The 26982-nt window shown below is 43.5% G+C and overlaps 1 protein-coding gene across 2 annotated transcripts in view, besides 2 other annotated features; it reads left to right on the top strand.

Annotated features, from left to right (window-relative positions):
* The window catches only part of WASF2 (WASP family member 2), an 85938-nt gene that overhangs the window by 4898 nt on the left and 54058 nt on the right, over positions 1 to 26982 (top strand). The window lies entirely within an intron of this gene.
* Positions 2033 to 2082: an enhancer, noted in NCBI's record as "active region_551". NCBI's record gives its function as "activates an Ori minimal core promoter by ATAC-STARR-seq in GM12878 lymphoblastoid cells {active_cell/tissue: GM12878}" and the evidence as "EXISTENCE:reporter gene assay evidence [ECO:0000049][PMID:35858748]".
* Positions 3073 to 3122: a silencer, noted in NCBI's record as "silent region_516". NCBI's record gives its function as "represses an Ori minimal core promoter by ATAC-STARR-seq in GM12878 lymphoblastoid cells {active_cell/tissue: GM12878}" and the evidence as "EXISTENCE:reporter gene assay evidence [ECO:0000049][PMID:35858748]".

Raw genomic sequence — 26982 nt, 5'->3', positions numbered from 1 at the left:
GGTCTTTGCTCATCATTTTTTGTATAGCATTTAAGAGAATTGTACTTTTTGCATATAATTCAGAGAAAAACAAATCAAATGCAGATCTGTAGATTCATGTTTGCCAATTTTTTTTTTTTGAGACCAAGTTTCGCTCTTATTGCCCAGCCTGGAGTACAATGGCGCAATCTTGGCTCACTGCTACCTCTGCCTCCTGGGTTCAAACAATTCTCCTGCCTCAGCCTCCTGAGTAGCTGGGATTACAGGTGTCTGCCACCACGCCCGGCTAAGTTTTGTATTTTTAGTAGAGACGGGGTTTCTCCAAGTTGGCCAGGGTGGTCTTGAACTCTTGACCTCAGGTGATCCACCTGCCTTGGCCTCCCAAAGTGCTGGGATTACAGGCATTAGCCACCACACCCGGCCATGTTTGCCAAATTTTAAAGCTGATTTTTTTCCTTTAGAGTATTCTTTTTTTTTTTGAGACAGAGTCTCGCTCTGTCATCCAGGCTGGAGTGCAGTGGCGTGATCTCGGCTAACTGCAACCTCCGCCTCCCGAGTTCACGCCATTCTCCTGCCTCAGCCTCCCGAGTAGCTGGGACTACAGGTGCCCGCCACCATGCCTGGCTAATTTTTTGTTTTGTATTTTTAGTAGAGACAGGGTTTCACCTTGTTAGCCAGGATGGTCTTGATTTCCTGACCTCATGATCCACCCACCTCGGCCTCCCAAAGTTCTGGGATTACAAGCATGAACCACCGCGCCCGGCCTAGAGTATTCTTTAGAATGAGGTAAAAACTGTCAATGGGATTTGGGTCAAAATTTTGTTTATTTTTAATTTATGAAGCTTCCACAATTTGCACATCTTGGTGTAAGGAGTTTACTAAAATACATTTAATTTTGAGTATTTTTATTTTAAGTGTATGCTATATGAGAAACTTCTGTTTACCAGCCATATGAATTTGGGTGGTTTCTTTAAATGGCCAAGGGCCTCTACTAGCACATTTTCAAAACTCAGGCTACTCTTAGTTTTCTCGGACATCTCTACTGTAGAGTGAGGTGGACTGGTATTGTTGGAGGATGAAGAATTATTTTTTCTCTTTAGAAGAAAGCCCCATGACAGCATGGATTTGTGGAATTTTGTCCTTTAAGAAACCAAGTAGCTGCCTGGTTTGAGGGCCTGAATTCAGCCACCTACTTGGGGTGGCTCCATAGTTCCTAAGAATGGTACCTTCACTGTTTTGGAGATACAAAGGATAAGAAACTGTATCAAGAGTTGCAGGTGGAGTCAGTGTGTGATTGGACTAGGGAATGGGAAAAATTATTGTTATTATTTGAGACAGGGTCTCACTCTGTTGCCCTGGCTTGAGTGCAATGGCAGTATCACAGCTCACTCACTGCAGCCTCAACCTCCTAGGCTCAAGCAGTCCTCCTCTTGCCTTAGCCTCCCAAATAGCTGGGACTACATGTGAGCGCTACCATGCCCACCCAATTTGTTAAATTTTTTAGAGACGAGGTCTAACTATGTTGCCCAGGCTGGTCTTAAACTGAGCTCAAGCCATCCTGCTGCCTTGGCCCCCTAAAGTGCTGAGATTACAGGGATAAGCATAAACCACCATGCCCAGACCCCTCACCCCCTTTTTGTTGTTGTTGTTTGAGATGGAGTCTCACTCTGCCGCCCATGCTGGAGTGCAGTGGCGTGATCTCGGCTCACTGTAACCTCTGCCTCCTGGGTTCAAGGGATTCTACTGCCTCAGCCTTACCTAGTAGCAGCTGGGATTACAGGTGCGTGCCACCATGCCTGGCTAATTTTGTTTTTGTTTTCCGAGACAGAGTTTTGCTCTTGCTGCCCAGGCTAGAACAATGGCATGGTCTCGGCTCACTGCAACTTCTGCCTCCCAGGTTCAGGGCGAGTCTCCTGCCTCAGCCTCCTGAGTAACTGGGATTACAGGCATGTGCCACCATGCCTGGCTAATTTTTGCATTTTTAGTAGAGATGGGGTTTCACCGTGTTGGTCAGGCTGGTCTAAAACTCCTGACCTCAGGTGATCTACCCGCCTCAGCCTCCCAAATTGCTGGGATTATGGATGTGAGCCACCACGCCCGGCCTAATTTTGTATTTTTAGTAGAGATGGGGTTTCACCATGTTGGCCAGGCTGATCTCGAACTCTTGACCTCAAGTGATTTGCCCACCTCGGCCTTCCAAAGTACTGGGATTACAGGCGTGAGATACTAATACTGCTTTAATTATGGCCTTTGTATTCTGCTTCATTCTTGTGTGCTCCTCTTCCATTTCATGGTCCGACCAGGAATACTTAAGCAGCATCCCTGGTTGCCAATAGCACCCCCTCTGCCCCAGTTGTGATAACCAGAAATGTCTCCAGATATTGTTACTTTTATCCTGGGGGGATAGATTTCTCCCTGTTGTGAGCTACTGTATCAATAGGGGTAGGAGTGGTGGAGCAATAGAGGAAAGTGATTATAGATGTCCTCAGGTGCATGTTCTCCTTTTTCTCCTTCTTTCTGGTTATGCAGTTCCTGTCCCTGACTTTGGATAAGAAAATGAGAAAAATCAGGAGGTGACCATTTAAAAATAGCCCCATTATTTTTATTCTGTTCAAGTTTTATTTTATTTGGTTTAAATATATTAGAGCAGGACAGATAGCTGAATTATTTATGCAGATCTATGTAAATTTAATTTCTACCACTGATTAAGATTACATAGAGTAAAGAACTACTGGACTATTACTACCTACCTTGCATGAAAGACTGTTTCTAAGAAAAGCTCATAGCTGAAAAGTTTAACACTTAAAGGATAACCAGCATTGCTTATATAAAGAACTTGCCAGAACTTGTCAGGATTCTTGCTAATTTTTGAGCTTCATGGCTAAGATGTATCTCTTGATGTCCCCGCATAAACACTTCATAACTCCAAAAAACATGTTTAGAATGGGCATGCTTTTCTAAGCTCAGTATTTTTTGTGACAGGCGGATTGGTCAAGGCAGTGGTCCTTAATTCCTCTGGGCATTCATAAATTAATGACAAGGTAGTGGTAACATTTGAAGACTTCATTCTCTTTTGGCCAACTCTGTACAATATAACATTATAATCATTCATGTCTTAGTCACCATTAAGGTAAAGTTGAATGAGTGTTTTTTCCTGTTCTGTTTGAAGTTATGAATGGTACTTTACAGAATTCAAATGTATAGTTATGAATAGTATCTCAGAATAGTTACCATTTATGCAAATGAAACACACTTCTTAACTTAGAAACCAAACAGAATTGAATTAGAAAAGAGAAGAATAGAAACAAGAATTGTTGAATGCTTGCTGAAGAAATAATGTTCAGATATAGAAGTATCTCAGAAAAATTTGCTTTTCATGATGATTTCCAGACTAATAAATAATTTGAGATTGATAGGAGAGGCTATTAAACTTTGCCTGTGATATTTCTTTTCAAGCTCTGTTTTTCTTTCTGGTAAAATACAGAGAAGTCTGAGATGTACTCTCAGCTGTAAGATTAATTCCATTTGAACAAAATAGTTTCTTTTTTTTTCTTTTTTCTTTTTTTTGAGATGGAGTCTTGCTCTGTCGCCCAGGCTGGAGTGCAATGGCCCGATGATGTTGGCTCACTGCAGCCTCTGTGCACGCCCTCCCTGCTCACCCCAGGCTCAAGCCATTCTCCTGCCTCGGCCTCCTGAGCTAAGTAGCTGCGATTACAGGCGCCCACCCCCATGCCTGGCTAATTTTTGTATTTTTAGTAGAGACGGGGTTTTGTCATGTTGGCCAGGCTGGTCTCAAACTCCTGGCCTCAAGTGATCTGCCCACCTCTGCTTCCCAAAGTGCTGGGATTACAGGCGTGAGCCACCACGCCTGGCCCCAAGTTTCTTATTTTGAGAATACAGAAGGCTTTTTGAGAAAAAGCAGTGGTTTGACTCATTTCCAATTTGAGTGAACATGTGTATGTGTATACACACATGCGTTATTTTTTTCATACGGAGTCTCCCTCTGTCGCCCAGGCTGGAGTGCAGTGGCGTGATCTCGGCTCACTGCAACCTCCACCTCCCAGGTTCAAGTGATTCTCCTGCCTCAGCCTCCTGAGTAGCTGGGACTACAGGCGCGTGCCACCACGCCTGGCTAATTTTTTTTTTTTTTGTATTTTTAGTAGAGACGGGGTTTCACCATGTAAGCTAGGATGGTCTTGATCTCCTGACCTCCACACATGCATTCTTTTTTTGTTTTTTTGTTTTTGTTTTTTGAGACAGACTCTCACTCTGTCACCCAGGCTAGAGTGCAGTGGCGTGATCTCGGCTCACTGCAAGCTCTGCCTCCCAGGTTCACGCCATTCTCCTGCCTCAGCCTCCCGAGTAATTGGGACTACAGGGAGGAGCTGGGAGTAGCTGGGACTACAGGCGCCTGCCACCACGCCCGGCTAATTTTTTTGTATTTTTAGTAGAGACGGGGTTTCACCGTGTTAGCCAGGATGGTCTCGATCTCCTGACCTCCACCCGCCTCGGCCTCCCAAAGTGCTGGGATTACAGGCGTGAGCCACCGCACCTGGCCCAACACATGCATTCTTAAATATGTCGTGTGGCTTGTGTGAATTTTAAGCTTTGTAATTGACATAGTAAAGTAACAAGAGCAGTTCATTTACTCTCAAGTATTTTGATTTGAAACCTCCTCTCCTTCCTCCATACCTGGCTTATGCCTTTGTTCTAGCAAGTACTCAGTTTATTTCTATTTTATTATATTTTATTTTATTTTTATTTTCTTTTTTTTTTAGATGGAGTCTCATTCTGTTTCCAGGCTGGAGTGCAGTGGTGCTATCTAATCTCACTGCAACCTCTGCCTCCCGGGTCCAAGCGATTCTTGTGCCTTAGCCTCTCGAGTAGCTGGGATTACAGGTGCTTGCCACCATACTCGGCTAATTTTTGTATTTTTAGTAGAGATGGGGCTTCACCATGTTGGCCAGGCTGTTCTCGAACTCCTGACCTCAAGTGATCTGCCCAATTCGGCCTCCCAAAGTGCTGGGATTACAGACATGAGCCTCCACACCCGGCCATAAGTACTCAGTTTAAAAAGTTTGCTCTTAAATCAGGTCTTGAGAAATTTTGTTTAACTGTGTAGAAGAAGGTTTTGGGTCATGCCTATTGATACTCCTTTTCATTCACAATTGGGAACTATAAGTGAATTTCCCTTTGTAGAATATTGATAGTCTTTAAAGAATAGTATTCCTGAATACCAACGGCATCTGTGGAATTATGAGAATTATAAGACTAACTTCTTCCCTATCTTTACTTTTAAAGTTCCTTCAGCATTCATTGGATGATAATTTGCAAAGCATAGTGCTCCACTTTGTTGTATACTATTACAGACAGTCCCCAGCACTTGAGATATGTTAGTAGCTACTTTTTTGTTTGTTTGTTTTTTTGAGACGGAGTCTTGCTCTGTCACCCAGGCTGGAATGTAGTGGCGCCATCTTGGCTCACTGCAGCTTCTGCCTCCCTGGTTCCAGTGATTCTCCTGCCCCAGCCTCCTGAGTAACTAGGATTATAGGCATGTGCCACCACACCCAGCTAATTTTTGTATTTTTAGTAGAGACGGGGTTTCACCATATTGGCCAGGCTGGTCTTGAACTCCTGACCTCAGGTGATCCACCCGCCTTGGCCTCCCAAAGTGCTGGGATTACAGGCGTGAGCCACCGTGCCAGGCCATTAGTAGCTGCATTTTATAGATAAAGTAAACTGGTTCTGAGAGATTAACTTCCTCAAAATTATTCAACTAAATAATGGAACATTTGAAATTGAAATGTCTTTTTTAAGATGAGATTTATATTTATTTTAAAATTATTTGGAATTTTTAAATAATAAAATAGAGATGAGGTGTGGGTATGTTGCTAAGGCTGGTCTCCAGCCCCTGGCTTCAAGTGATCCTCCCACCTTAGCCTCGAAGGTGCTGCCAAGATTACAGGTGTAAGCCACCAAGCCTAGCCAAGATTTTTTTTTTTTTTGAGATGGAGTCTCACTCTGTCGCCCACACTGGAGTGCAGTGGCGCAGTCTTGGCTCACTGCAACCTCCGCCTCCCGGGTTCAAGCAATTCTCCTGCCTCAGCCTCCCGAGTAGCTGGGATTACAGGTGCCTGCCACCACGCCTGGCTAATTTTTTGTATTTTTAGTAGAGACGGGGTTTCACCATGTTGACTAGGGTGGTCTTGAACTCCTGACCTTGTGATTCACCCACCTCGGCCTCCCAAAGCTCTGGGATTACAGGCGTGAGCCACCACACCCGGCCCTAACCAAGATTTTTAAAGGTAAAACTTATATACAGTGAGATGGAAGTATATAATTAGACGAGTTTTGACAAATGTAAACACCTATGTAGCCAACACCCACATCAAGAAATAGAACATTTTGGCTGGGCGCAGTGGCTCACGCCTGTAATCCCAGCACTTTGTGAGGTCGAGGCGGGTGGATCACCTGAGGTCGGGAATTGGAGACCAGCCTGACCAACATGGAGAAGCCCTGTCTCTACTAAAAATACAAAAAATTATCTGGGTGTGGTGACGGATGCCTGTAATCCCAGCTACTCTGGAGGCTGAGGCAGGAGACTCGCTTGAACCTGGGAGGCGGAGTTTGCAGTGAGCCGAGATCACGCCATTGCACTCCAGCCTGGGCAACAAGAGTGAAACTCCATCTCAAAAAAAGGAAAAAGAAATAGAATATTTTTATAACCCTCCAAAGTTCCCTCCTTCCAGTTCCCCTTCCAGTCAATCTCCACCATTTTATAGGCAACCAATGTTCTGATTTCTATCCCCACATATTAAATTTACCTATTCTTGAATCATATAGTATGCACACTTTTGTGTCTGACTTTTTCTGTTCAACATAAAGTTTTTCACATTTGTCCATGTTAATGTGTATACGAACCCAAGTCCTTTGATGCATATCTAGAGTTCTTTCCAACAAACCACAGCTACTAATTTGCTTATTCTTACATCATATCCTTTTTTTTTTTTTTTTTGCTTTGCTATTTGCATGAAATTTATTTTCTACTTCTTTTCTTTCTTTCCTTTTTTATTTTTTTTGGAGGTAGAGTCTTCCCTCTGTCCCCCAGGTTAGAGTGCAGTGGCAGGATCTCGGCTCGCTGCAACCTCTGCCTCCCGGGTTCAAGCAGTTCTTCTGCCTCAGCCTCCCAAGTCTCTTTTTAGTAGAGACGGGGGTTTCACCATGTTGGTCAGGTTGGTCTTGAACTCCTGGTTTCAAGTGATCCACCTGCTTCAGCCTCCCAAAGTGCTAGGATTACAGGCATGAGCCACTACACCCGGCCTGCCTCCCATTTCTAATATCCTAGATTTATTTATTTTTATTTTTTTTTTTATTTATTTATTTTTTTTTTTTGAGACGGAGTCTCGCTCTGTAGCCCAGGCTGGAGTGCAGTGGCGGGATCTCGGCTCACTGCAAGCTCCGCCTCCCGGGTTCACGCCATTCTCCTGCCTCAGCCTCCCAAGTAGCTGGGACTACAGGCGCCCGCCACTACGCCCGGCTAATTTTTTGTATTTTTAGTAGAGACGGGGTTTCACCGTTTTAGCCGGGATGGTCTCGATCTCCTGACCTCGTGATCCGCCCGCCTCGGCCTCCCAAAGTGCTGGGATTACAGGCGTGAGCCACCGCGCCCGGCCGATTTATTTATTTTTAAAATCTCTTTGAAGTTACAAAAGTAATACTTGCTCATTGCAACAGATTATTTTTTATTTTTTGAGACGAAGTCTTGCTCTGTCACCCAGGCTGGAGTGCAGTGGCATGATCTCTGCTCACTGCAACTTCCACCTGCCTGGTTCAAGTGATTCTTCTGCCTCAGCCTATCGAGTAGCTGGGATTGTAGGCATGTGTCAACACGCCCAGCTAATTTTTGTATTTTTAGTAGAGATGGGATTTCGCCATGTTGGCCAGGCTGGTGTTGGACTCCTGGCCTCACGTGATCTGCCAGCATCAGCCTCCCAAAGTGCTGGGATTACAGGCGTGAGCCACCGCGCCTGGCCTTAAAAAGACATTTAAAAAAAATCTGTACTCATATAGAAGCCCCTCTGGTCCCTTTGGTCTTCTGTGATATCTTTCTAGGCCTTCTCTATTTTACCTTTTTTGTGCTATGATGACTACAACTACACATTCTATTCTAGGTACAGGTACACTTTGGTTTGTACAAGGATAGGATAATATGTTCTGTGTTTCCAAAGCTTTCATAATGACAGCCAGTATTTTGTTGCCTTTTTGTAGCTGTATTCAGGGTACAGTCTAGGGACTTTGAAACCCCTTTCCTATGTTAAAACAGGTAGTTTTAGAGCTCATCGTTTGATAATTATAGTTTGAACTATTTTTCTGTCACTGAATTACCTTATTTTTGTCTACATGGAAGCTGTTTTTCACATTGCTGAACACACAGAGCCTTGCACCATTGTACTTCTATGTGTTGCTGTAGAGTCATCTGCAAACTGGGAAGATTTCACTATTGTTTTTTCTAGATAATTTCTAAAAATGTTAATTGTGGTACATTTCAGCCTTGATCCCTTGGGGACCCTTTGTTTATACATCTTTAGAGAAGGGACTGTGTCACAACTCTCTTATTTCTGTTTTTAAATGAATTCTCTGGGGGAAAAATAGTCTACTTATTTGCTCTTTTCAGAAGCCTCTGGAAGAGGTTTTTTTTTTTTTAAATTTTGTCCACTTAATTCTCATTATACCATGTGATGTAGTTTGAATATGTATCCTCTCTAAATCTCATGTTGAAATGTAATACCCAGTGTTGGAGATGGGGCCTGGTAGGAGGTGTTTGGGTCATGGGGGCAGGTCCCTCATGAATGGCTTGGGCCATCCCCTTGGTGATAAGTGAGCTCTCGCTCTGAGTTCACATGTGAAGTGCCTGCTTGCGCTTTTCCTTCTGCCATGAGTAAAAGCTTCCTGAAGCCTCCCCAGGAGCACATGCTGGCACTGTTTCCTGTACAGCCTGCAGAACTGTGAGCAGTGAAACCTCTTTGCCTATAAATTACCCAGTCTCAGATATTTCTTTATAGCAATGCAAGAATGGCCTAAGACACCATTTACCTTCTCATCAGATGTGTATATGTGTTACCTAAGGCCTCGTAAACAGTAGGTTTTCTGTAAGCCTTTGCTATATTAAACATTCAACAATAGGATAATGCCTAGTATTGGGTTATTAGTTTAACATTCAACAGATGTGTTAAGTGCCTACTGTGTGTCACGTACTACTAAGGATACAACTCAGTGATCTTGAGAAGAAACAAGGTGCATGCTCTCATGCAGTTTGGGAAGCCTTGGATAGACAGTAAAGACATAAATAAGGCTGGGTGTAGTGGCTCACGCCCACATGGGGAGGCGTGAGGCCAAGTATTTTGGGAGGCTAACGTAGGCAGATCACTTGAGCCCAGGAGTTTGAGACCAGCCTGGGTAACATGGTGAAACCCCATCCCTACAAAAAATACAAAAATTAGCTGGGTGTGATGGTGTGCACCTGTAGTACCAGCTGCTCAGGAGGCTGAAGTGGGAGGATCACTTGAACCCAGGAGGCAGAGGTTGCAATGAGCCAAGATTATGCCACTGCACTCCAGCCTGGGCAACAGAGGCAGACACTCTCTCAAACAAAACAGAACAAAACAAAAAGACATAAAAAGTTAAAGATTGTGATGTATGTTAGAAAATAAAATAGGGTGCTATAATAGAGAGTAATAGAGGAACTTAGATAAGGATGGTCAGGAAAGGCTTCTCTGAGAAGGTGATATACTGAAAGTGAAGAATGAAAATGAACCATTGAAATAGAGAAACGAGGGAAGAGAGTTCCAGGGAGAAGGAACTGTTGATGGCAGAAGCCCTGAATCAGGAAAATCCTTAGTGTATCCTGAGAGTGATGGAAGCCTACCATGGCTATGTATTAGTGAACGGTGGTAACAAAATATGTGATTGGAGAGATGGGTAGGAGCCAGATATTTCAAAGCTTTTTAGGACTGTTAAGGAGTTCTGTTTATTTATATTTTGAGACAAGGTCTTGCTCTGTTGCCCAGGCTAGTGGCACAGTCTTGGCTCGCTGCAGCTTTGAACTCCTGCCTCAGCCTCCTGCGTAACTGGGACTACAGTTACATAACACCACACCTGCCTAATTTTTAAATTTTATGTGTAGAGATTGCATCTCACTGTGTTGCCCAGGCTGGTCTTGAACCCCTGGCCTCAAGCAGTCCTCCTGCCTCAGCCTCCCAAAGTGGTGGGCTTTCAGATGTGAGCCACCACATCTGGCCAGGAGTTTTGTGTGTATTTTGTTTTGTTTTGTTTTGTTTTTGAGACAAGATCCCACTCTGTCACCTAGGCTGGAGTGCAGTGGTGCGATCATGGCTCACTGCAGCCTTAACCTCTGTGGCTCAAGTGATCCTCCCACCTCAGCCTCTTGGGTACTTGGGACTACAGATGCAGGTCACCATGCCAGGCTAATTGTTTTATTTTTTATTTTTATTTTTTTTTTGAGGCAGAGTCTCGCTCTGTTGCCCAAGCTGGAGGGCAGTGGCATGATCTCGGCTCACTGCAACCTCTGCCTCCTGGGTTTAGGCGCGATTCTCCTGCCTCAGCCTCCTGAGTAGCTGGGACTATAGGCTCATGCCACCATGCGCAGCTAATTTTTGTATTTTTAGTAGAGGCGGGGTTTCATCATGTTGGCCAGGATGGTCTCGATCTTGTGACCTCGTGATCCGCCCACCTCAGCCTCCCAAAGTGCTGGGATTAGAGGTGTGAGCCACCATGCCCAGCCTAATTGTTTTATTTTTTATGGAGATGGAGTCTCACTATGTTGCCTAGGCTATTCTTGAACTCCTGGGCTCAAGTGATCCTCAGCTTCAGCCTCCCAGAGTGCTGAGATTACAGGCGTGTGAGCTACTTTGCCTGGGTGTGTTTTATTTTTAAGTAAATGGGAAGTCTGGAAGAAGTGTTTTGTTTTTAAATTGAGGTGCTTGAAGATTTAAAAAAAAAACTTTTTAATGAAAAAATATCAAGCATACATGTAAGTAAAGAGAATGATGTAATGAACTCCTATGTATCTATCTCCTAGCCTCAACAAGTATCAACTCATGGCCATTACAACAGGTCTTTGAATAACATTATTTTGTTCACCTTCATTGCGTTATAATGTTGATGAGAAAAAAAATGTATTCCTGGCCGGGGCTACTGTCTGTGTAGTTTGCACGTTCTCCCCACATCTGTGTGGGCTTTCTCCAGTACTTTGGTTTCCCTCCAGGTACTCTGGTTTCCTCCCGCATCACAGAATTGTTCGTGTTTGATGAATTGGTGTCTCTAAATGGTCCCAGTCTGAGTGAGTGTGGGTGCGTGTGTGATTGATGGGATGGCATCCTGCCCAGAGTTGGTTCCCACCTTGCTCCCTGGGCTGTTGGGACAGGCTCCGGCCACCCATGACCCTGAACTGGAATAATTAGGTAAATACTTATCTTTCTTGTTTTTATTAATCTTTCTTAAATGTTTGTGTAGCTCACATTTGTTTCAGTGTTTAATATTGGAAGTGTTTTGGTCTTTCTTTAGAAGTTTGGTGATGTTTTTTGTGACCAGAAATATGCTATAGGAACTTAACTCTTGTTTACATTAGACTGTGGTAAAATTGGTTTTGTTATACATTGTTTTGCTTAAAATAGTAATATCCAAGAATCTATTGATGAGTTAAGTGAGGACTTACTGTGTTGTTTCTTCCAATACCCCTCTTTCCTCCTCTGTTACAATTTTTTCCATGATTAACAATGTAACTTTTTTTTTCTTTCTTTTTTTTTTTTTTTTTTTGGCCATGGAGTCTGGAGTCTTGCTCTGTTACCCAGGGTGGAGTGCAGTGGTGCAGTTTTGGCTCACTGCAACCTCAGCCTCCCGAGTAGCTGGGACTACAGGCACCTGCCACCACGCCCGGCTAATTTTTTGTATTTTTAGTAGAGACGGGGTTTCACCATGTTAGCCAGGATGGTCTTCATCTCCTGACCTCGTGATCCGCCCGCCTCGGCCTCTGAAAGTGCTGGAATTAGAGGCATGAGCCACCGCTCTTGGCCATTTATTGGCTATTTATATGTCTATTTAAATCTGTTGCTTCTTTTAAAATTGGGTTATTTGTCCTTTTATTGTATTTTAATAGTTCTTTATTCCGGATACAGGTTATCAGATAAATTATTTACAAAGATTTTCTCCCATTCTGTGGGTTGTCTTTTCACTTTTCATGATCATGCCCTATAAAGCACAATTTTTTTTGTTGTTTGTTTCCTTTTTTTTTTTTTTTTTTGAGACAAGGTCTTGCTGTGTCTCCCAGGCTGGAATGCAGTGGTGCCATCATGGCTCACTGCAGCCTTGAATTTCTGGGCTCAAGGGATCCTCCCACCTCAGCCTCCTAAGTAGCTAGGGCTACAGGCTCACATCTTCATGCCATACTAATTTTCTTCCTTTTTTTTTTTTTTTGGTAAAGATGGGGTCTTGCTTTGTTGCCCAGATTGGTCTTGAACTCCTGGCCTCAAGCAATCCTTGCCTTGGCCTCCCAAGGTGCTGGGGTTACAGGCATGAGCCACCCTGGCCTGATTTCCCCTTTTTTTTTTTTTTTTTTTTTTTTGGAGACGGGGTTTCACTGTGTCACCCAGGCTGGAGTGCTGGAGTGCTGGAGTGCAGTCGTGAAATCTCAGCTCACTGCAACCTCTGCCTCCTGGGCTCAAGCAGTCCTCCCATCTCAGCCTTCCAAGTGGCTGGAACTATAGGTGCTAGCCACCATGCCTGGCTAATTTTTGTATTTTTTGTAGAGATGGGATTTCACCATGTTGCCCAGGCTGGTCCTGAACTCCTGAGCTCAAGTGATCCACCTGCCTCAGCCTCCCAAAGTGCTAGGATCACAGGCTTGCATCACTGCACCCAGTTTTGATTTACATTTTTTTTTTTTTTTTTGAGTTGGCGTCTTGCTCTGGCACACAGGCTGGAGTGCAGTGGCGTGGTCTCAGCTTACCACCACATCAGTCTCCTGGGCTGAAGCAATTCTCCTGCCTCTCGAGTAGATGGGATTACAGGCACCCGCCACCATGCCCGGCTAATTTTTTTATTTTTAGTAGAGACAGGGTTTCACCATGTTGGGCAGGGTGGTCTCCATCTCCTGACCTCGTGATCTGCCCGCCTCTGCCTCTGAAAGTACCGCGATTACAGGCATAAGCCACCGCGCCTGGCCCTGATTTCCATTTTTAAAAGATTAATCCAGTTGCTACAAAGAGAGTGGATTATTTGGGGGCAGGACTTGATTGAGGTGGGTTGAACAGGCTACTGCAGAAATCTAGGCAGTGATGAAAGTTTGAACTACTAGGTAGGTCGCTAAAGAGATGGAGAGAAATGGATGTGTTTAGTATATATTTTGGAGGTAGAGCTGATAAGGCTTGTTGATGGGTTGAATTTGTGGGTCAAGGAAGAAGATAAGGATTGAACAGGCCTTCCTTCTGGACATTCTTCTCTTAGCTTTTATGACACAACATTGTTCTGGTTCTCTTTCTGCCTTCCTGATCCTCCTTTGTCAGTCCCTAAGTTGTCTCAGGCCTTGCTTCTCTTTTTTTTGCTTTTGTATTGAGAGGTCATCTACTCTTTGTGTGTGTGTGTGTTTGAGACAGGTTCTTGCGCTGTTGGCCAGGCTGCAGTACAGTGGCGCCATCTCGGCTTTCTGCAGCCTCAGCTTCCTGGGCTGAAGTGAGCCTCCCACCTCAGCCTCTCAAGTAGCTGGGACCACAGATGTACACCACCATGCCCAGCTAATTTTATTTTTTGTGGAGCCAAGGGTCTTGAACTCATGGACTCAAGCGATTCTTCCGTCACAGCTTCTCAGAGTGCTGGGATCACAGGTTTGAGGCTCTGTGCACAGCCTACTCTTTTTTTTTTTTTTTTTTTTTGAGACAGAGTCTCGCTCTGTCGCCCAGGCTGGAGTGCAGTGGCGGGATCTCGGCTCACTGCAAGCTCCGCCTCCCGGGTTCACGCCATTCTCCTGCCTCAGCCTCCCAAGTAGCTGGGACTACAGGCGCCCGCCACTACGCCCGGCTAATTTTTTGTATTTTTAGTAGAGATGGGGTTTCACTGTTTTTAGCCGGGATGGTCTCGATCTCCTGACCTCGTGATCCGCCCGCCTCGGCCTCCCAAAGTGCTGGGATTACAGGCGTGAGCCACCGCGCCCGGCCCACAGCCTACTCTTATGTCTTCTGTTACAACCTTCATGCAGTAACTGCCACATCTATATTTTTGCCTCTCAGCTCCAGTACCAGAATTCCTATTGGACCGCTTCACTGATATCCTACTTGCACCTCCAGCTTTTCATGAGCTGTCTGCTTTTGAGAACCTGTGGTCAGATTGTACAGGTTGTCTCCTCCTTGCTTGGGAGGCATGTTTACTGGTTTTAAGGATGGGTTTTATACCTTTTATGTAGGTTTTAATGATGAGTCCTTTGCTTTAGAGAAGTGCATTCCCAAGAAAATGCATAGCACTCCTGGGCAGCATTTTGTTCTTCAGAACCTTGTGAGGAACACAGGTTCAATGAGAAGGTTCAGCTTATCTCCTGCCCACCCCACTCCCCAGCCCCCCAAATCCCCTGACTTACTGCTCTTCATTTTGACTCACATATTTCTATTTATTTATTCAGTCAGTCAGTCATTTATTGAACACTATTCAGGGCTGGTATAGGTCTGCCAACATGCTAAACATTGGCCCCACCATTCTCCCAGTTCATCCAGTTGTAAAATCTTAGTTACTGTTGACTTCTCAACTCCTGCTTGTTTTCATGCCCAGACACTCTCAGATCCCTCCCTGTCTTTTCCTCCCACTACTGCATTTTAGGTCCTGTGTTACCTTTTGCCTTGATTATTTATCCTTATTTTCATCCCCCTCCCCAGCTCCATTCTTTTCTACTAAACTTAGGTGAGGTGTATAGTTTCTTCCTAAATATTCTATCATCTAGAACTCCAAATGTGTGACTCCCAATGCTTATTGACTAAAGTACAAACTCAGCCTGATATTTAAGATTCTGTGGTCTAGCCCCTACTTGTCTTTCCAGCTCTGTTTCCCACTACAGGCGCAATAATGCGCTCATCTTCATTTCCCAAAAATGTTTCATTATATTCTGCCTTTGTGCTTCTGCTGACACTGTCTGTACACTTCAGATATAATACTCCCTGTCACTACATGTCCAAATCCTGCCTATTTTTCATGCCCAGTTATATGACACTCTTCTATGATGGCTTCTGATATACTTAAAAACTACCTTGCTTATGATACTTAAACCGTAACTTCACCTTTTTTTTTTTGACACAGAGTCTCATTCTGTCGCCCACTCTGGAGTGTGGTGGTGCGATCTCTGCTCACTGCAACCTTTCTGCCTCTCGGGATCAAGTGATTCTCCTGCCTCAGCCTCCCGAGTAGCTGGGACTACAGGTGCACACCACCACACCTGGCTAATTTTTGTATTTTTAGTAGAGATGGGGTTTCACCATGTTGGCCAGGCTGGTCTCTAATTCCTGACCTCAGGTGATCTGCCAGCCTTGGCCTCCCGAAGTGCTGGGATTACAGACATGAGCCACTGCGCTTGGTCAACTTCATCACTTTTTACCTTGTTTTATGTTTAGGTACTTTTCTGATTTCTCCTATATGACTAAAGTCCTGAAACAGAAACTGGTTCTTGTATTTCTGTGCATCTTCTACAATGTTAGCGCCTTTGTGCTCAATAGTTACTCAATAAATATTTGCTGAATGTGATAATGTTGTAGTGTGTCCTGGAGGCGGTACACTAGATCGAATGATCTCTTGAAGTATTAGCCAACTCTGTGACTTATTTTCATACATTTTTGTAGATTCAAAAGCTACAAGAAGTTTTTATAGATAAACTTGTCTGCTCATCTCGTTCTTTAGAAAAGTATAGAAAATTTCAAACATATACAGATGTGGAGAGGGTGATATAGTGAGGCCTTACATGCCCAACACTCAGCTTCAACAATTATTAGCTCATGGTCAGTCTTGTTTCATCCATACCCCTATTCGTTCCCTCATCCCCCTTAGATCATTTTGAAACAAGTCCCAGACATCATATCATTTAAATGCTAATTTCTGTGTATAGCTGTAAAAAATAAAGAGACTGTTTTTAAAAAACATAACCACACTGCATCCTGTTAATGTTCAAATTTCCACAATTAATTTCTCTTTCTGCTCTCCCTTCATCCCTGCCACCCCTTCTCTCTGAACATTTGGTTTATTTGAATCAGGTTTCAGACAAGGTTGATACATTGATTTGGTTTACATAGCTTCTATGTCTCCTTTTTTTTTTTTTTTTTTTGAGACAGAGTCCCACTCTGTTGCCAGGCTGGAGTGCAGTGGCGCGATCTCAGCCCATTGCAACCTCCGCCTCCACCACGGCACCCAGCTAATTTTTGTATTCTTAGTAGAGACGGGGTTTCACCATGTTGGCCAGGCTGGTCTTGAACTCCTGACCTCAGGTGATCTACCCTCCTTGGCCTCCCAAAGTGCTGGGATTACAGGCGTGAACCACCGTGCCCGGCCTCTTTTACGTCTTTTTTAATCTACAGGTTCTCTCAGTTCTTTTTTTTTTTTCCCCGGAGACGGAGTTTCGCTCTTGTCGCCCAGGCTGGAGTGCAATGGCGCAATCTCGGCTCATTGTAACCTCTGTCCCCCAGGTTCAAATGATTCTCCTACCTCAGCCTCCTGAGTAGCTGGGATTGCAGGCATTAGCCACCACGACCAGCTAATTTTTGTATTTTTAGTAGAGACGGGATTTCACCATGTTGGTCAGGCTGGTCTCTAACTCCTGACCTCAGGTGATCCGCCTGCCTCGGCCTCCCAAAGTGCTGAGATTACAGGCGTGAGCCACTACGCCTGGTCAGTTCTTTTTTTCTCTGGTGTTTTTTTTTTGTTATTGCTGCTGTTGTTAAAGAAACAAAGTTGTGTAATTCTCCCGTTCTGGACTTTGCTAGTTGAATTTCTGTAATTCATTTATATTCCTCTATCCCTTTTATTCCCTATAAACTGGTTGTTAGATCTAGAGAGTGTTGTCTAACAGAAATATTCAAGCTTCTAATTAAATTTAAAATTTCAGCCTGGTCAACATGGTAAAACCCCATCTATACTAAAACAGAAAAATTAGCTGCTTGTGGTGGCATGTGCCTGTAATCCCATCTACTTGGGTGACTGAGACACGAGAATTGCTTTAACCCAGGAGGTGGAGGTTGCAGTGAGCTGAGATTGTGCTACTACACTCCAGACTGGGCGACAGAGTGAGACCCTGTCTCAAAAAAAAAAAAATTATTTGGCACATTAAAAAGATAAGAAGAAACAGGAAATTGCTCTGTCACCCAGGCTGGAGTGCAGTGGCGTGATCTCGATGTACTGCAACCTCCGCCTCCTGGGTTCAAGCGATTCTCCTGCCTCAGCCTCCCCAGTAGCTGGGACTACAGTCGCGTGCCACCACGCCTGGCTAGTTTTTTATATTTTTAGTAGAGATAGAGTCTCACCGTGTCAGCCAGGCTGGTCTCCATCTCCTGACCTCGTGATCCGCCCACCTCGGCCTCCTAAAGTGCTGGGATTACACGTGTGAGCCACTGCGCCCCCCGGAAATTCATTTTAATAATATACTTTATTTTGGCTAGGCGTGGTGGCTCACGCCTGTAATCCCAGCACTTTGGGAGGTCAAGGCGGGCGGATCACGAGGTCAGGAGATTGAGACCATCCTGGCTAACACGGTGAAATGCCGTCTCTACTAAAAAATCCAAAAAGTTAGCCGGGCGTGGTGGCAGGTGCCTGTAGTCCCAGCTACTCGGGAGGCTGAGGCAGGGGAATGGCATGAACCCGGGAGGCGGAGCTTGCAGTGAGCTGAGATTGCACCACTGCATTCCAGCCTGGACACCATCTCAAAAAAAAAAAACAGAAAACAAACAAACGAAAAACTTTATTTTACCCAATAGTTGCAAACTATTATTTTTTTCTTTGTGTGTGTGTGTGTGTGTTTTGGTTTTTTTTTTTTTTTTTGAGACAAGGTCTCACTCTGACACCCAGGCTGTAGTGCAGTGTGGCATTATCTCGACTCACTGCAACCTCCACTTCTCAGGCTCAAGTGACCCTCCCACCTCAGCTTCCCAAGTAGCTGGGACTATAGGCGTGCACCACCAACCCAGCTAATTTTTATATTTTTTATAGGGATGGGGTTTCTCCATGTTGCCCAGGCTGATCTCAAACTCCTGGGCTCAAACAATCTGCCTGCCCCGGTCTCCCAAAGTGCTAGGATTACCAGTGTGAGCCACCGCACCCCAGCCTGAAAAGTCTTATTATTTTAACATTAATATAATGACATATAATCAATAAAAAATTATTGTGATTTGTTTTTTTCTTGAGCTGAGCTCTCACTCTGTTTTTCAGGCTGGAGTACAGTGGCATGATTTCAGCTCATTGCAGCCTCAACCACCTGGGCTCCCACCTCAGCCTCCCAAGTAGCTAGGACTACAGGCATGCACCACCACACCCAGCTAACTTTTAAATTATTTGTAGAGACGGGCTTCATTATGTTGCCCAGGCTTATCTTGAACTCCTGGCCTCAAGCCATCCTCTCACCTCAGCTTCCCAAAGGCTGGAATTTCAGGTATGCACCACTGCGCCCAGCAGCATCCTTTTTTAATATTAAATCTTTGAAAGTTGGTGCTTTGCACTTACGGCACATATCGGTTTGGAGTGGCCCTGGTTTTGGTGCTCCATAGCTGCATGTATGCAGTGGCTCCTGTTGTGCAGTGCTCCTCTAGAGGCTTGAACTGAATCCGGTTGCTTTTTTGGCAATAATACTTCATAAGTGGTGGTGTATTATTCTGTGAGGAGGCTCATAATGTCCAGATGTCTCTTTTTCTGTTGTACGTGGTCATGGATGATGATTACCTAGATCCATGATTTCATTAAATGTGTGAAAAATGATTAGATTTTAATTCTATCATTCTTTTTTGTTGTTGTTTATCATCTGGAATACTTCAAAAAAGAAAAAGTTTACTTTATCAACTCTTTGGTTACCCTGGGGTTTGATATGTACAAGGAAGGCAAGGTAAATACTTAATTCATTCCCTTTATTCTTTCATTTACTAGTTTTCAAAATAATGAGTTGGTTTTCAGATATACTCCAGAGAGGACCAGTGACTTTTTAGGGTTTTTTAGGGCATGATCAGGAACTTTTAGGTGTTAACATATTTGATGTGTTTTAATCCATTGCAGTTATTCTTATTGATGTTAACTTTGTTTCATATTGGACCAGTGGGAAGTTCTTCAAGCTAGCTCCTGATTCCTTTTGACATAATTTCAGCAGTCTTTGATAGTGTTCCTTGCTTTCTAGCACGATAATGTGTTCCCAACTCATCTTGTACATTTTCTGCCCTTTCCCCTAAGCTCTGGATCCTCTTATTGCGATATTGTGTTTAGAGACCACATTATTAGCTCCCTCATTTTGTAAAAGAGGCAGCTGAAGGCAAGAGAAGTTGAGTGATTTAACTAAGGTAGCACAGATTTAGTACCGTAATCTGCCCTAGAACCGTAGCCTTCCTTAGCCATTGCCATTTTGTCTTGCTTCCTCTGCCTAGTCTCTAGGACAGGTGGTTTAACTACATTTTAGCTTATACTGTAGGGGTCATCAGGGGAAGATAGGTTTTGTGGGTCATCATGGAGGTAGTATTAAACCTCATTAATTTGGGCTAATTGGGGGAAAACCTAGTGAGAGTGTTGTAGGTTATTTTTCTTTAGATGCAGCTGTTACTTTGAGTTCATACAGTAATTGAAACTAGGCTAATAGTGTTACCAGGTTATTTTGTTAGATAGAGATCCTTGTACCTGGTTTAATGAATAGCTGAGAATGGTGTGCAAATTAACTTTAATTGTATGTAAATTAGACTTGAAATGCTTAAAAACAGCTCATTAAACATTTCTCCCTGCAATCTTATTTACACTGTTTTCTTAGTCTTTATTAGAGTGCAGAGGTAAACTTCAGCTCAGTTCTGAATATATCTCAACTTTCATGTGTGGAGTCTATATTAATAAAGTGTGGCTGTAGCGTTCAGAGAATTTTAGAAAGATATTTGAGAAGTAAAGAGGAACAGCATCTGAAAGTCAGACATCTGGCAGTCTCAGCCAGTCAGAATGTGTTTCCTTGCGTCTTTAAAAGTAAGCTGTTTTTCTCCTGCTGCTTTCGGAAATAAAAAATAAAAGTAAAGGCTGTAATCCCAGCACTTTGGGAGGCCAAGGCGGGTGGATCACAAAGTCAGGAGTTCAAGACCAGCCTGGCCAACATGGTGAAACCCTGTCTCTACTAAAAATACAATAATTAGCCGGGCGTGGTGGCACGCGCCTGTAATCCCAGCTACTTGGGAAGCTGAGGCAGGAGAATTGCTTGAACCCAGGAGGCACAGGTTGCAGTAAGCCAAGATCGTGCCACTGCACTCCAGTCTGGGCGACAGAGCGAGACTCTGTCTCAAAATGAATAAACAAATAAATAAATATAAAAGTAAGCTGGAAGTGCTTCTAAGTGGTAAAGATTGTTCATTTTACTTCAACAGTAGCATCAGCTCAGGACCTCACTCAGATAATTGTGTATATTGACACACAGAGGACCCAGGTGTATGAGGGCTGACTGTGTGGCCTATTGACTCTGTGGCCCAAAGTGTCATTTGACCTCTTTGAGCTTTAATTTATTTGTCTATAATTAGGTAGTTAAAATTGGGAGTAGTAATATATGTTTTTTTTTAACCTCACAGACTAATTGTAAGATTCATATCAGCTAATTAATCAAATGATATTTATTGAATTAATGAAAGATATGAAAGTACTTTTTTTTTTGAGACCGTTTTCCTCTTTTGCCCAGGCTAGAGTGCAATGGTGTGATCTTGGCTCACTGTAACCTAACCTCTACCTCCTGGGTTCAAATGATTCTCCTGCCTTAGCCTCCTGAATAGCTGGGATTACAGGCACCCACCACCATGCCCAGCTAATTTTTTTTATTTTTAGTAGAGATGGGGTTTCACCATGTTGGTCAGGTTGGTCTCTAACTGCTGACCTCAGGCAATCCACCCGCCTCGGCCTCCCAAAGTGCTTGGATTACATGCGTGAGTCACCATGCCCAGCTGAAAGTACTGTTTAAACTAGAAGCTTTGTATGACCAAAATTATTATTAGAATAATATAGATGAGGCTGGGAGGCTGAGGTGGGCGGATCACCTGAGGTCAGGAGTTCCAGACCAGCCTGACCAACATGGAGAAACCCTGTCTCTACTAAGAATACATAATTAGCCGGGCGTGGTGGCACATGCCTTTAATCCCAGCTAACTCGGGAGGCTGAGGTTGCGGTGAGCCAAGATCCTGCCATTGTACTCCAGCCTGGGCAACAAGAGTGAAACTCTGTCTCAAAAAAAAAAAAAAATAATAATAATAATATAAAGGAGGCATGTTAATATATACTAATGATCAGAAGCAGGACAGCAGACAAGAGATTCAAGTTGTCTGTCCAGAACTTTGCAGACATTTTACTATATAGGCATATGTAAACCTCACACCTCAGGTGCCTCTGACAGTATCATAGTTTTTTTTTTTTTTTTTTTTTTTGAGACAGAGTCTCACTCTGTCGCCCAGGCTAGAGTGCAGTGGCGCTATCTCGGCTCACTGCAAGCTCCACCTCCCGGGCTAACTCCATTCTCCTGCCTCAGCCTCCTGAGTAGCTGGGACTACAGGCACCCGCCACCACTCGGCTGATTTTTTGTATTTTTTCTAGAGACGGGGTTTTACCGTGTTAGCCAGGATGGTCTCGATTTCCTGACCTCAAGATCCGCCTGCCTCAGCCTCCCAAAGTGCTGGGATTACAGGTGTCACCGCATCCGGCCAGTATCACAGTTTTATAGCAGTACCACTGCAGATGTGAAGACCCTGAGTTTCTAAGAAAAAGTTAAAATATCTATAATATATTCTGTTCAGAAAATAATTGATATGCACAATATATTTTACAGATTTTCATTAAAATACCTTCAAAAAGCATAGTCTCTAAATAATTATTTCCATTATCTGACAGTTTTACCTTATATGAAGTCTGCCATTCTCTAAAAGCAGCTAACGGCCAGGCATAGTGGCCCATGCCTGTACTTCCAGCAATTTGGGAGGTCCAGGCAGGCGGATCACTTGAGGTCAGGAGTTCAAGACCAGCCTGGCCAACATGGTGAAATCCTGTCACTACTAAAAATACTAAAATTAGCCAGGCATGGTGGCGCGCACCTGTAATCCCAGCTACTTGGGAGGCTGAGGCACAAGAAATGCTTGAACGCAGGAGGCGAAGGTTGCCGTGAGTCTAGATCGCACCATTGCGACAGAGTGAGACTCCATCTAAAAAAAAAAATTAAAATAATAAAAATAAAAGCAGCTAACACCTGCACTGAATATCAGCAACTGTTCTAAATTCCTTATTATATTTACTCTTTCATTTTTCTCAATAATCTTATGAAGTAGGTGCTATTATTAATCTCCAATTTATAGATGGGGAAACTGATATACAGAGAGGTTAAGAAATCTACCCAAGATTCTTTATTGGGATTCTGGGTTGAGGGAAAAATTTTCCATAAAGAGCATTAGTAGGGAAGGGTATGGTGGCTCATGCCTGTCATACCAGCTCTTTGGAAGGCCAAGATGGGAGGATCGCTTGAGCCCAGGAATTTGAGACCAGCCTGGGCAACATAGAGAGACCCCATCTCTCTCTCTCTTTTTTTGTTTTTCTTCAAGAGCATTAGTGAGACAACGGGTAAAAGATACGAACTTTACATTAGATAATAATAGTGTGTTATTGTTAAATTTCCTAATGTGATAATTGAACTGTAGTTTGTTTTTAGAAAATAACCCATTGAAGTATTTGGAGAAAGGACATGATGTCTACAACCTATTATCAAATGGTTAAAAAATTAATAATAGGGCCAGGCACGGTGGCTCACACCTGTAATTCCAGCACTTTGGGAGGCCAAGGTGGGCAGATCACGAGGTCAAGAGTTTGAGACCAGCCTGGCCAGCATGGAGAAACCCCATCTCTATTAAAAATACAAAAATTCGCCGGGAACGGTGGCATGTGCCTTTAGTCCCAGCTACTTGGGAGGCTGAGGCAGGAGAATTGCTTCAACCTGGCAGGCAGAGGTTGCAGTGATCCGAGATCGCACCACTGCACTCCAGCCTGGGTGACAGAGCGAGACTCCATCTCAAAAAAAAAAAAAAAAAGTAATAAAATAGTGAGTGGCCGTGTGTGGTAGCTCAGACCTGTAATCTCCACACTTTGGGAGGCCAAGGTGGGAGGATCACTTGATCCCAAGAGTTTGAGACTGCCTGGGCAACATGGTGAAACCCTGTCTCTACCAAAAATACAAAAAATAACCAGGCCTATTGGTGTGTACCTGTAGTCCCAGCTACTTGAAAGGCTGAGGTGGGCCAGGCGCGGTGGCTCACGCCTGTAATCCCAGCACTTTGGGAGGCCGAGGCGGGTGGATTACGAGGTCAGGAGATCGAGACCATCCTGGCTAACACGGTGAAACCCCGACTCTACGAAAAATAAGAAATTTAAAAAAAAAAATTAGCTGGGCGTGGTGGCGGGCGCCTGTAGTCCCAGCTGCTCGGGAGGCTGAGGCAGGAGAATGGAGTGAGCCCGGGAGGCGGAGCTTGCAGTGAGCCAAGATCCGTCGTCACTGCACTCCAGCCGGGGAGACAGAGCGAGACTCCGTCTCAAAAAAAAAAAAAAAAAATGCTGAAGTGGGAGGATCGCCTGAGCCTGGGAGGTCAAGGCTGTATTGAGTCATGGTAGCGCCACTGCACTCCAGCCTGGGCGACAGAGTGAGACCCTGTCTTAATTAATTCATTAATTAATTAATTCTGTGTGTGTATGTGAATGTGTGTGGAGAGATGTGTAAAGTAAATGTGGCAAAATGTTAGCAGTTAGTGAACCTAAGTGAAGGGTATATGAGAATTCTTTGTAATATTCTTGCAACTTTTCTCCAAGTTTGCAATTATTTCAAAATAAAAAGTAAAAACCTTTTTTTTGTTGTTTGTTTTTGTGTTTTGAGACGGAGTCTTGCTCTGTCACCCAGGCTGGAGTGCAGTGGCGTGATCTCTGCTCCCTGCAAGCTCCGCCTCCCGGGTTCACGCCATTCTCCTGCCTCAGCCTGCCGAGTAGTTGGGACTACAGGCGCCCACAAACACCCCCAGATAATTTTTTGTATATTTAATAGAGACGGGATTTCAGAGTTTCACTGTGTTAGCCAGGATGGTCTCGATCTCCTGACCTCGTAATCCACCCACCTCGGCCTCCCAAAGTGCTGGGATTACAGGCGTGAGCCACTGCGCCTGGCCAAAAACTTTTCTAAGGTTATACAGCTGAAGAGTATATTTAGCAGAGCTGAGATTTGAACCCAGGTCATTTGGTTTCAGAATTCATGTTCTGAATTATAGGACTATTTTGCTCTATTCACAGTGTTAGATAAATGAGGTATATCTGTACTCCATTTTGGCTATGGGACTATGATTGGACGCTGAACATGGGGCTATGTTAATAGCTCTGCCTCCTGGTTCTTCAAGGATAGGGTGATCATATAATGTGTAAACTGGTTCACTTTTAAGAGTGAGAGAAAATACTTTTAATAATCACTCTGGGATGATTGATGTAAACCAAGGTGAATGGACACCCTGAAAGGATACCTCTTGGCAGAGTTTAGTTTTCACAAATGTGACAGGACATGATAATTGCTTCATTATAATTGAATCTTGTTTACCATGGATTCTTATTTACATAATACAGGTGCATTTTTTCTTTCGCCAACAGAACTCAGGCCTTTACCTGATTCATTTTCATATTCTCTCGATTTTGCTAATTCTTTTACTTCCCTCCAGACCACTCAGGAAATATTCTTTGTCAAACTTCATTTCCTCCAAGTCTGAAAAATACCAGCAGGAATTTCTATAACACTTGTCCCATTAAAAAAAAAATTGGCATTTAAAACCATAAATCCCAAAATATCTTTATTAACAGGATTTCTACAAGGAGAGGAGCTGGTAAATGCATCTGCATTACTGGACTGGCAGAGAAATATTACTGTCATCAACTTCCTATAGATACTTGGAAATAACCTTATTGTATGGTACTAGAGGCTGTGTTAATGTTTGTTAAAAAGGATTATACCAGTCTAGAATCAAAGCATATGTGTTATCTCATTGATCTGTTATACTTATTTGCAGTAACACTGTTCTGAAGCTGCGTCCAATTAGAGGTTGTCCTTCATTGATAGAGGGCTAGTATTTGTAGTCAAATCGCTAAACTTTCAAAATTATTCTAATAGAATCTATTGTGGATTTTTAAAGATCAAACTACCTTTTTGCTTCCTTATACAGTATGTATTTAACCAAGTATGTATCCACTAGGGTGATAGGGGGTGGGACAGGCAAGGACACTGAAATTTATATCAGATAGCCTTCCTACCAGTTAACTACTGTGGTATAAAGTTTGGAGGAAGAATGGATAAAACACATGTGAACATAAGTTTTTTTTAAACCACTAAAATGACTTTCCCCTTAAATTATGAGATGTACTTTTATAGTAATAATAGTCTTGATTACATTTTTATTTTTTAAAAATAATGTATATTTTATAGTTCAAAGCTGTTTAAATTTCCTATTCTTGGTGGCTGTTTTCTTTAAATTCAGTGAATTCCTATATTTAAAAGGATAGATGTTTTATTTATGTCAGATTTATGAATGTGGCCCAGCAGGATGGCTCAATGCCTGTAAATCCTAGCACTTTAGGAGGCTGGATCACTTGAGCTCAGGAGTTGGAGACCAGCCTGGATAACATAGCCAGACCTTGTCCCTACTAAAAATTTTAAAAATTAGCCAGGTATGATGGCACATACCCATATTCCTAGCTACTTGGGAGGCTGAGGCAGGAGGATCACTTGAGTCCGAGAGATTGAAGCTACAGTGAGGTATGATCACACCACTGCACTGCAGACTGCATGACAGGCACGGCCAGGTCTCAACAACAACAAAAAATTCACAAATGAGAATGGCCTCTGAAACTTTTTTTTTTTTTTAGATGGAGTCTCGCTCTTGTTGCCCAGTGGAGTGCAATGGTGTGATCTCGGCTCACTGCAACCTCCGCTTCCTGGGTTGAAGTGATTCCCCTTCCTCAGCCTCCTGAGTAGCTGGGATTACAGGCGCCTGCCACCTCACCTGGCTAATTTTTGTATTTTTAGTAGAGACAGGGTTTTACCATGTTGGCCAGGCTGGTCTCAAACTCCTGACTTCAGGTGATCCGCCTGCCTCAGCCTCCCAAAGTGCTAGGATTACAGGCATGAGCCTCTGCGCTCGGCTGCCAATTTTTACAATTTTTTAAAAAAAATTTTTTAATTTTTTATTTTTTTTGAGGCAGAATCTCGCTCTGTCACCGAGGCTGGAGTGCAGAGGCGTGATCTCGGCTCACTGCAACCTCCACCTCCCAGTTTCAAGCAATTCTCCTGCCTCAGCACCCCGTGCAGCTGGGATTACAGGCATGCACCACCACGCCCAACTAATTTTTGTATTTTTAGTAGACGGTTTTTCACCATGTTGGCCAGGCTGGTCTCAAACTCCTGGCCTCAAGTGATCCACCTGCTTTGATCTCCCAAAGCACTGGAATTACAGTGAGCCACTGCCCCCGACCTAATTTTTACTTAATTTTTAAAAATCTTTATTTTTGAGGAAAACTACAAATATTTGTTATCTTTAACTGGGATCAACCATGCATTAATGAAAATGAACTATTAAAATAATAAAATAAATACCTATTTGCCTTGAATTACCAATTTTATGTTTTTTATTTGACATAGGAAATCAACAAGGCCTTTTTTTTTTTTTTTTTTTTTTTTTTAAGAATCTCGCTCTGTCACCC

The sequence above is a fragment of the Homo sapiens genome, chromosome 1 (genome assembly GCF_000001405.40).
Source record: "Homo sapiens chromosome 1, GRCh38.p14 Primary Assembly".
Classification (NCBI taxonomy): domain Eukaryota; kingdom Metazoa; phylum Chordata; class Mammalia; order Primates; family Hominidae; genus Homo; species Homo sapiens.
This window is presented reverse-complemented; position numbering and strand designations above follow the sequence as displayed.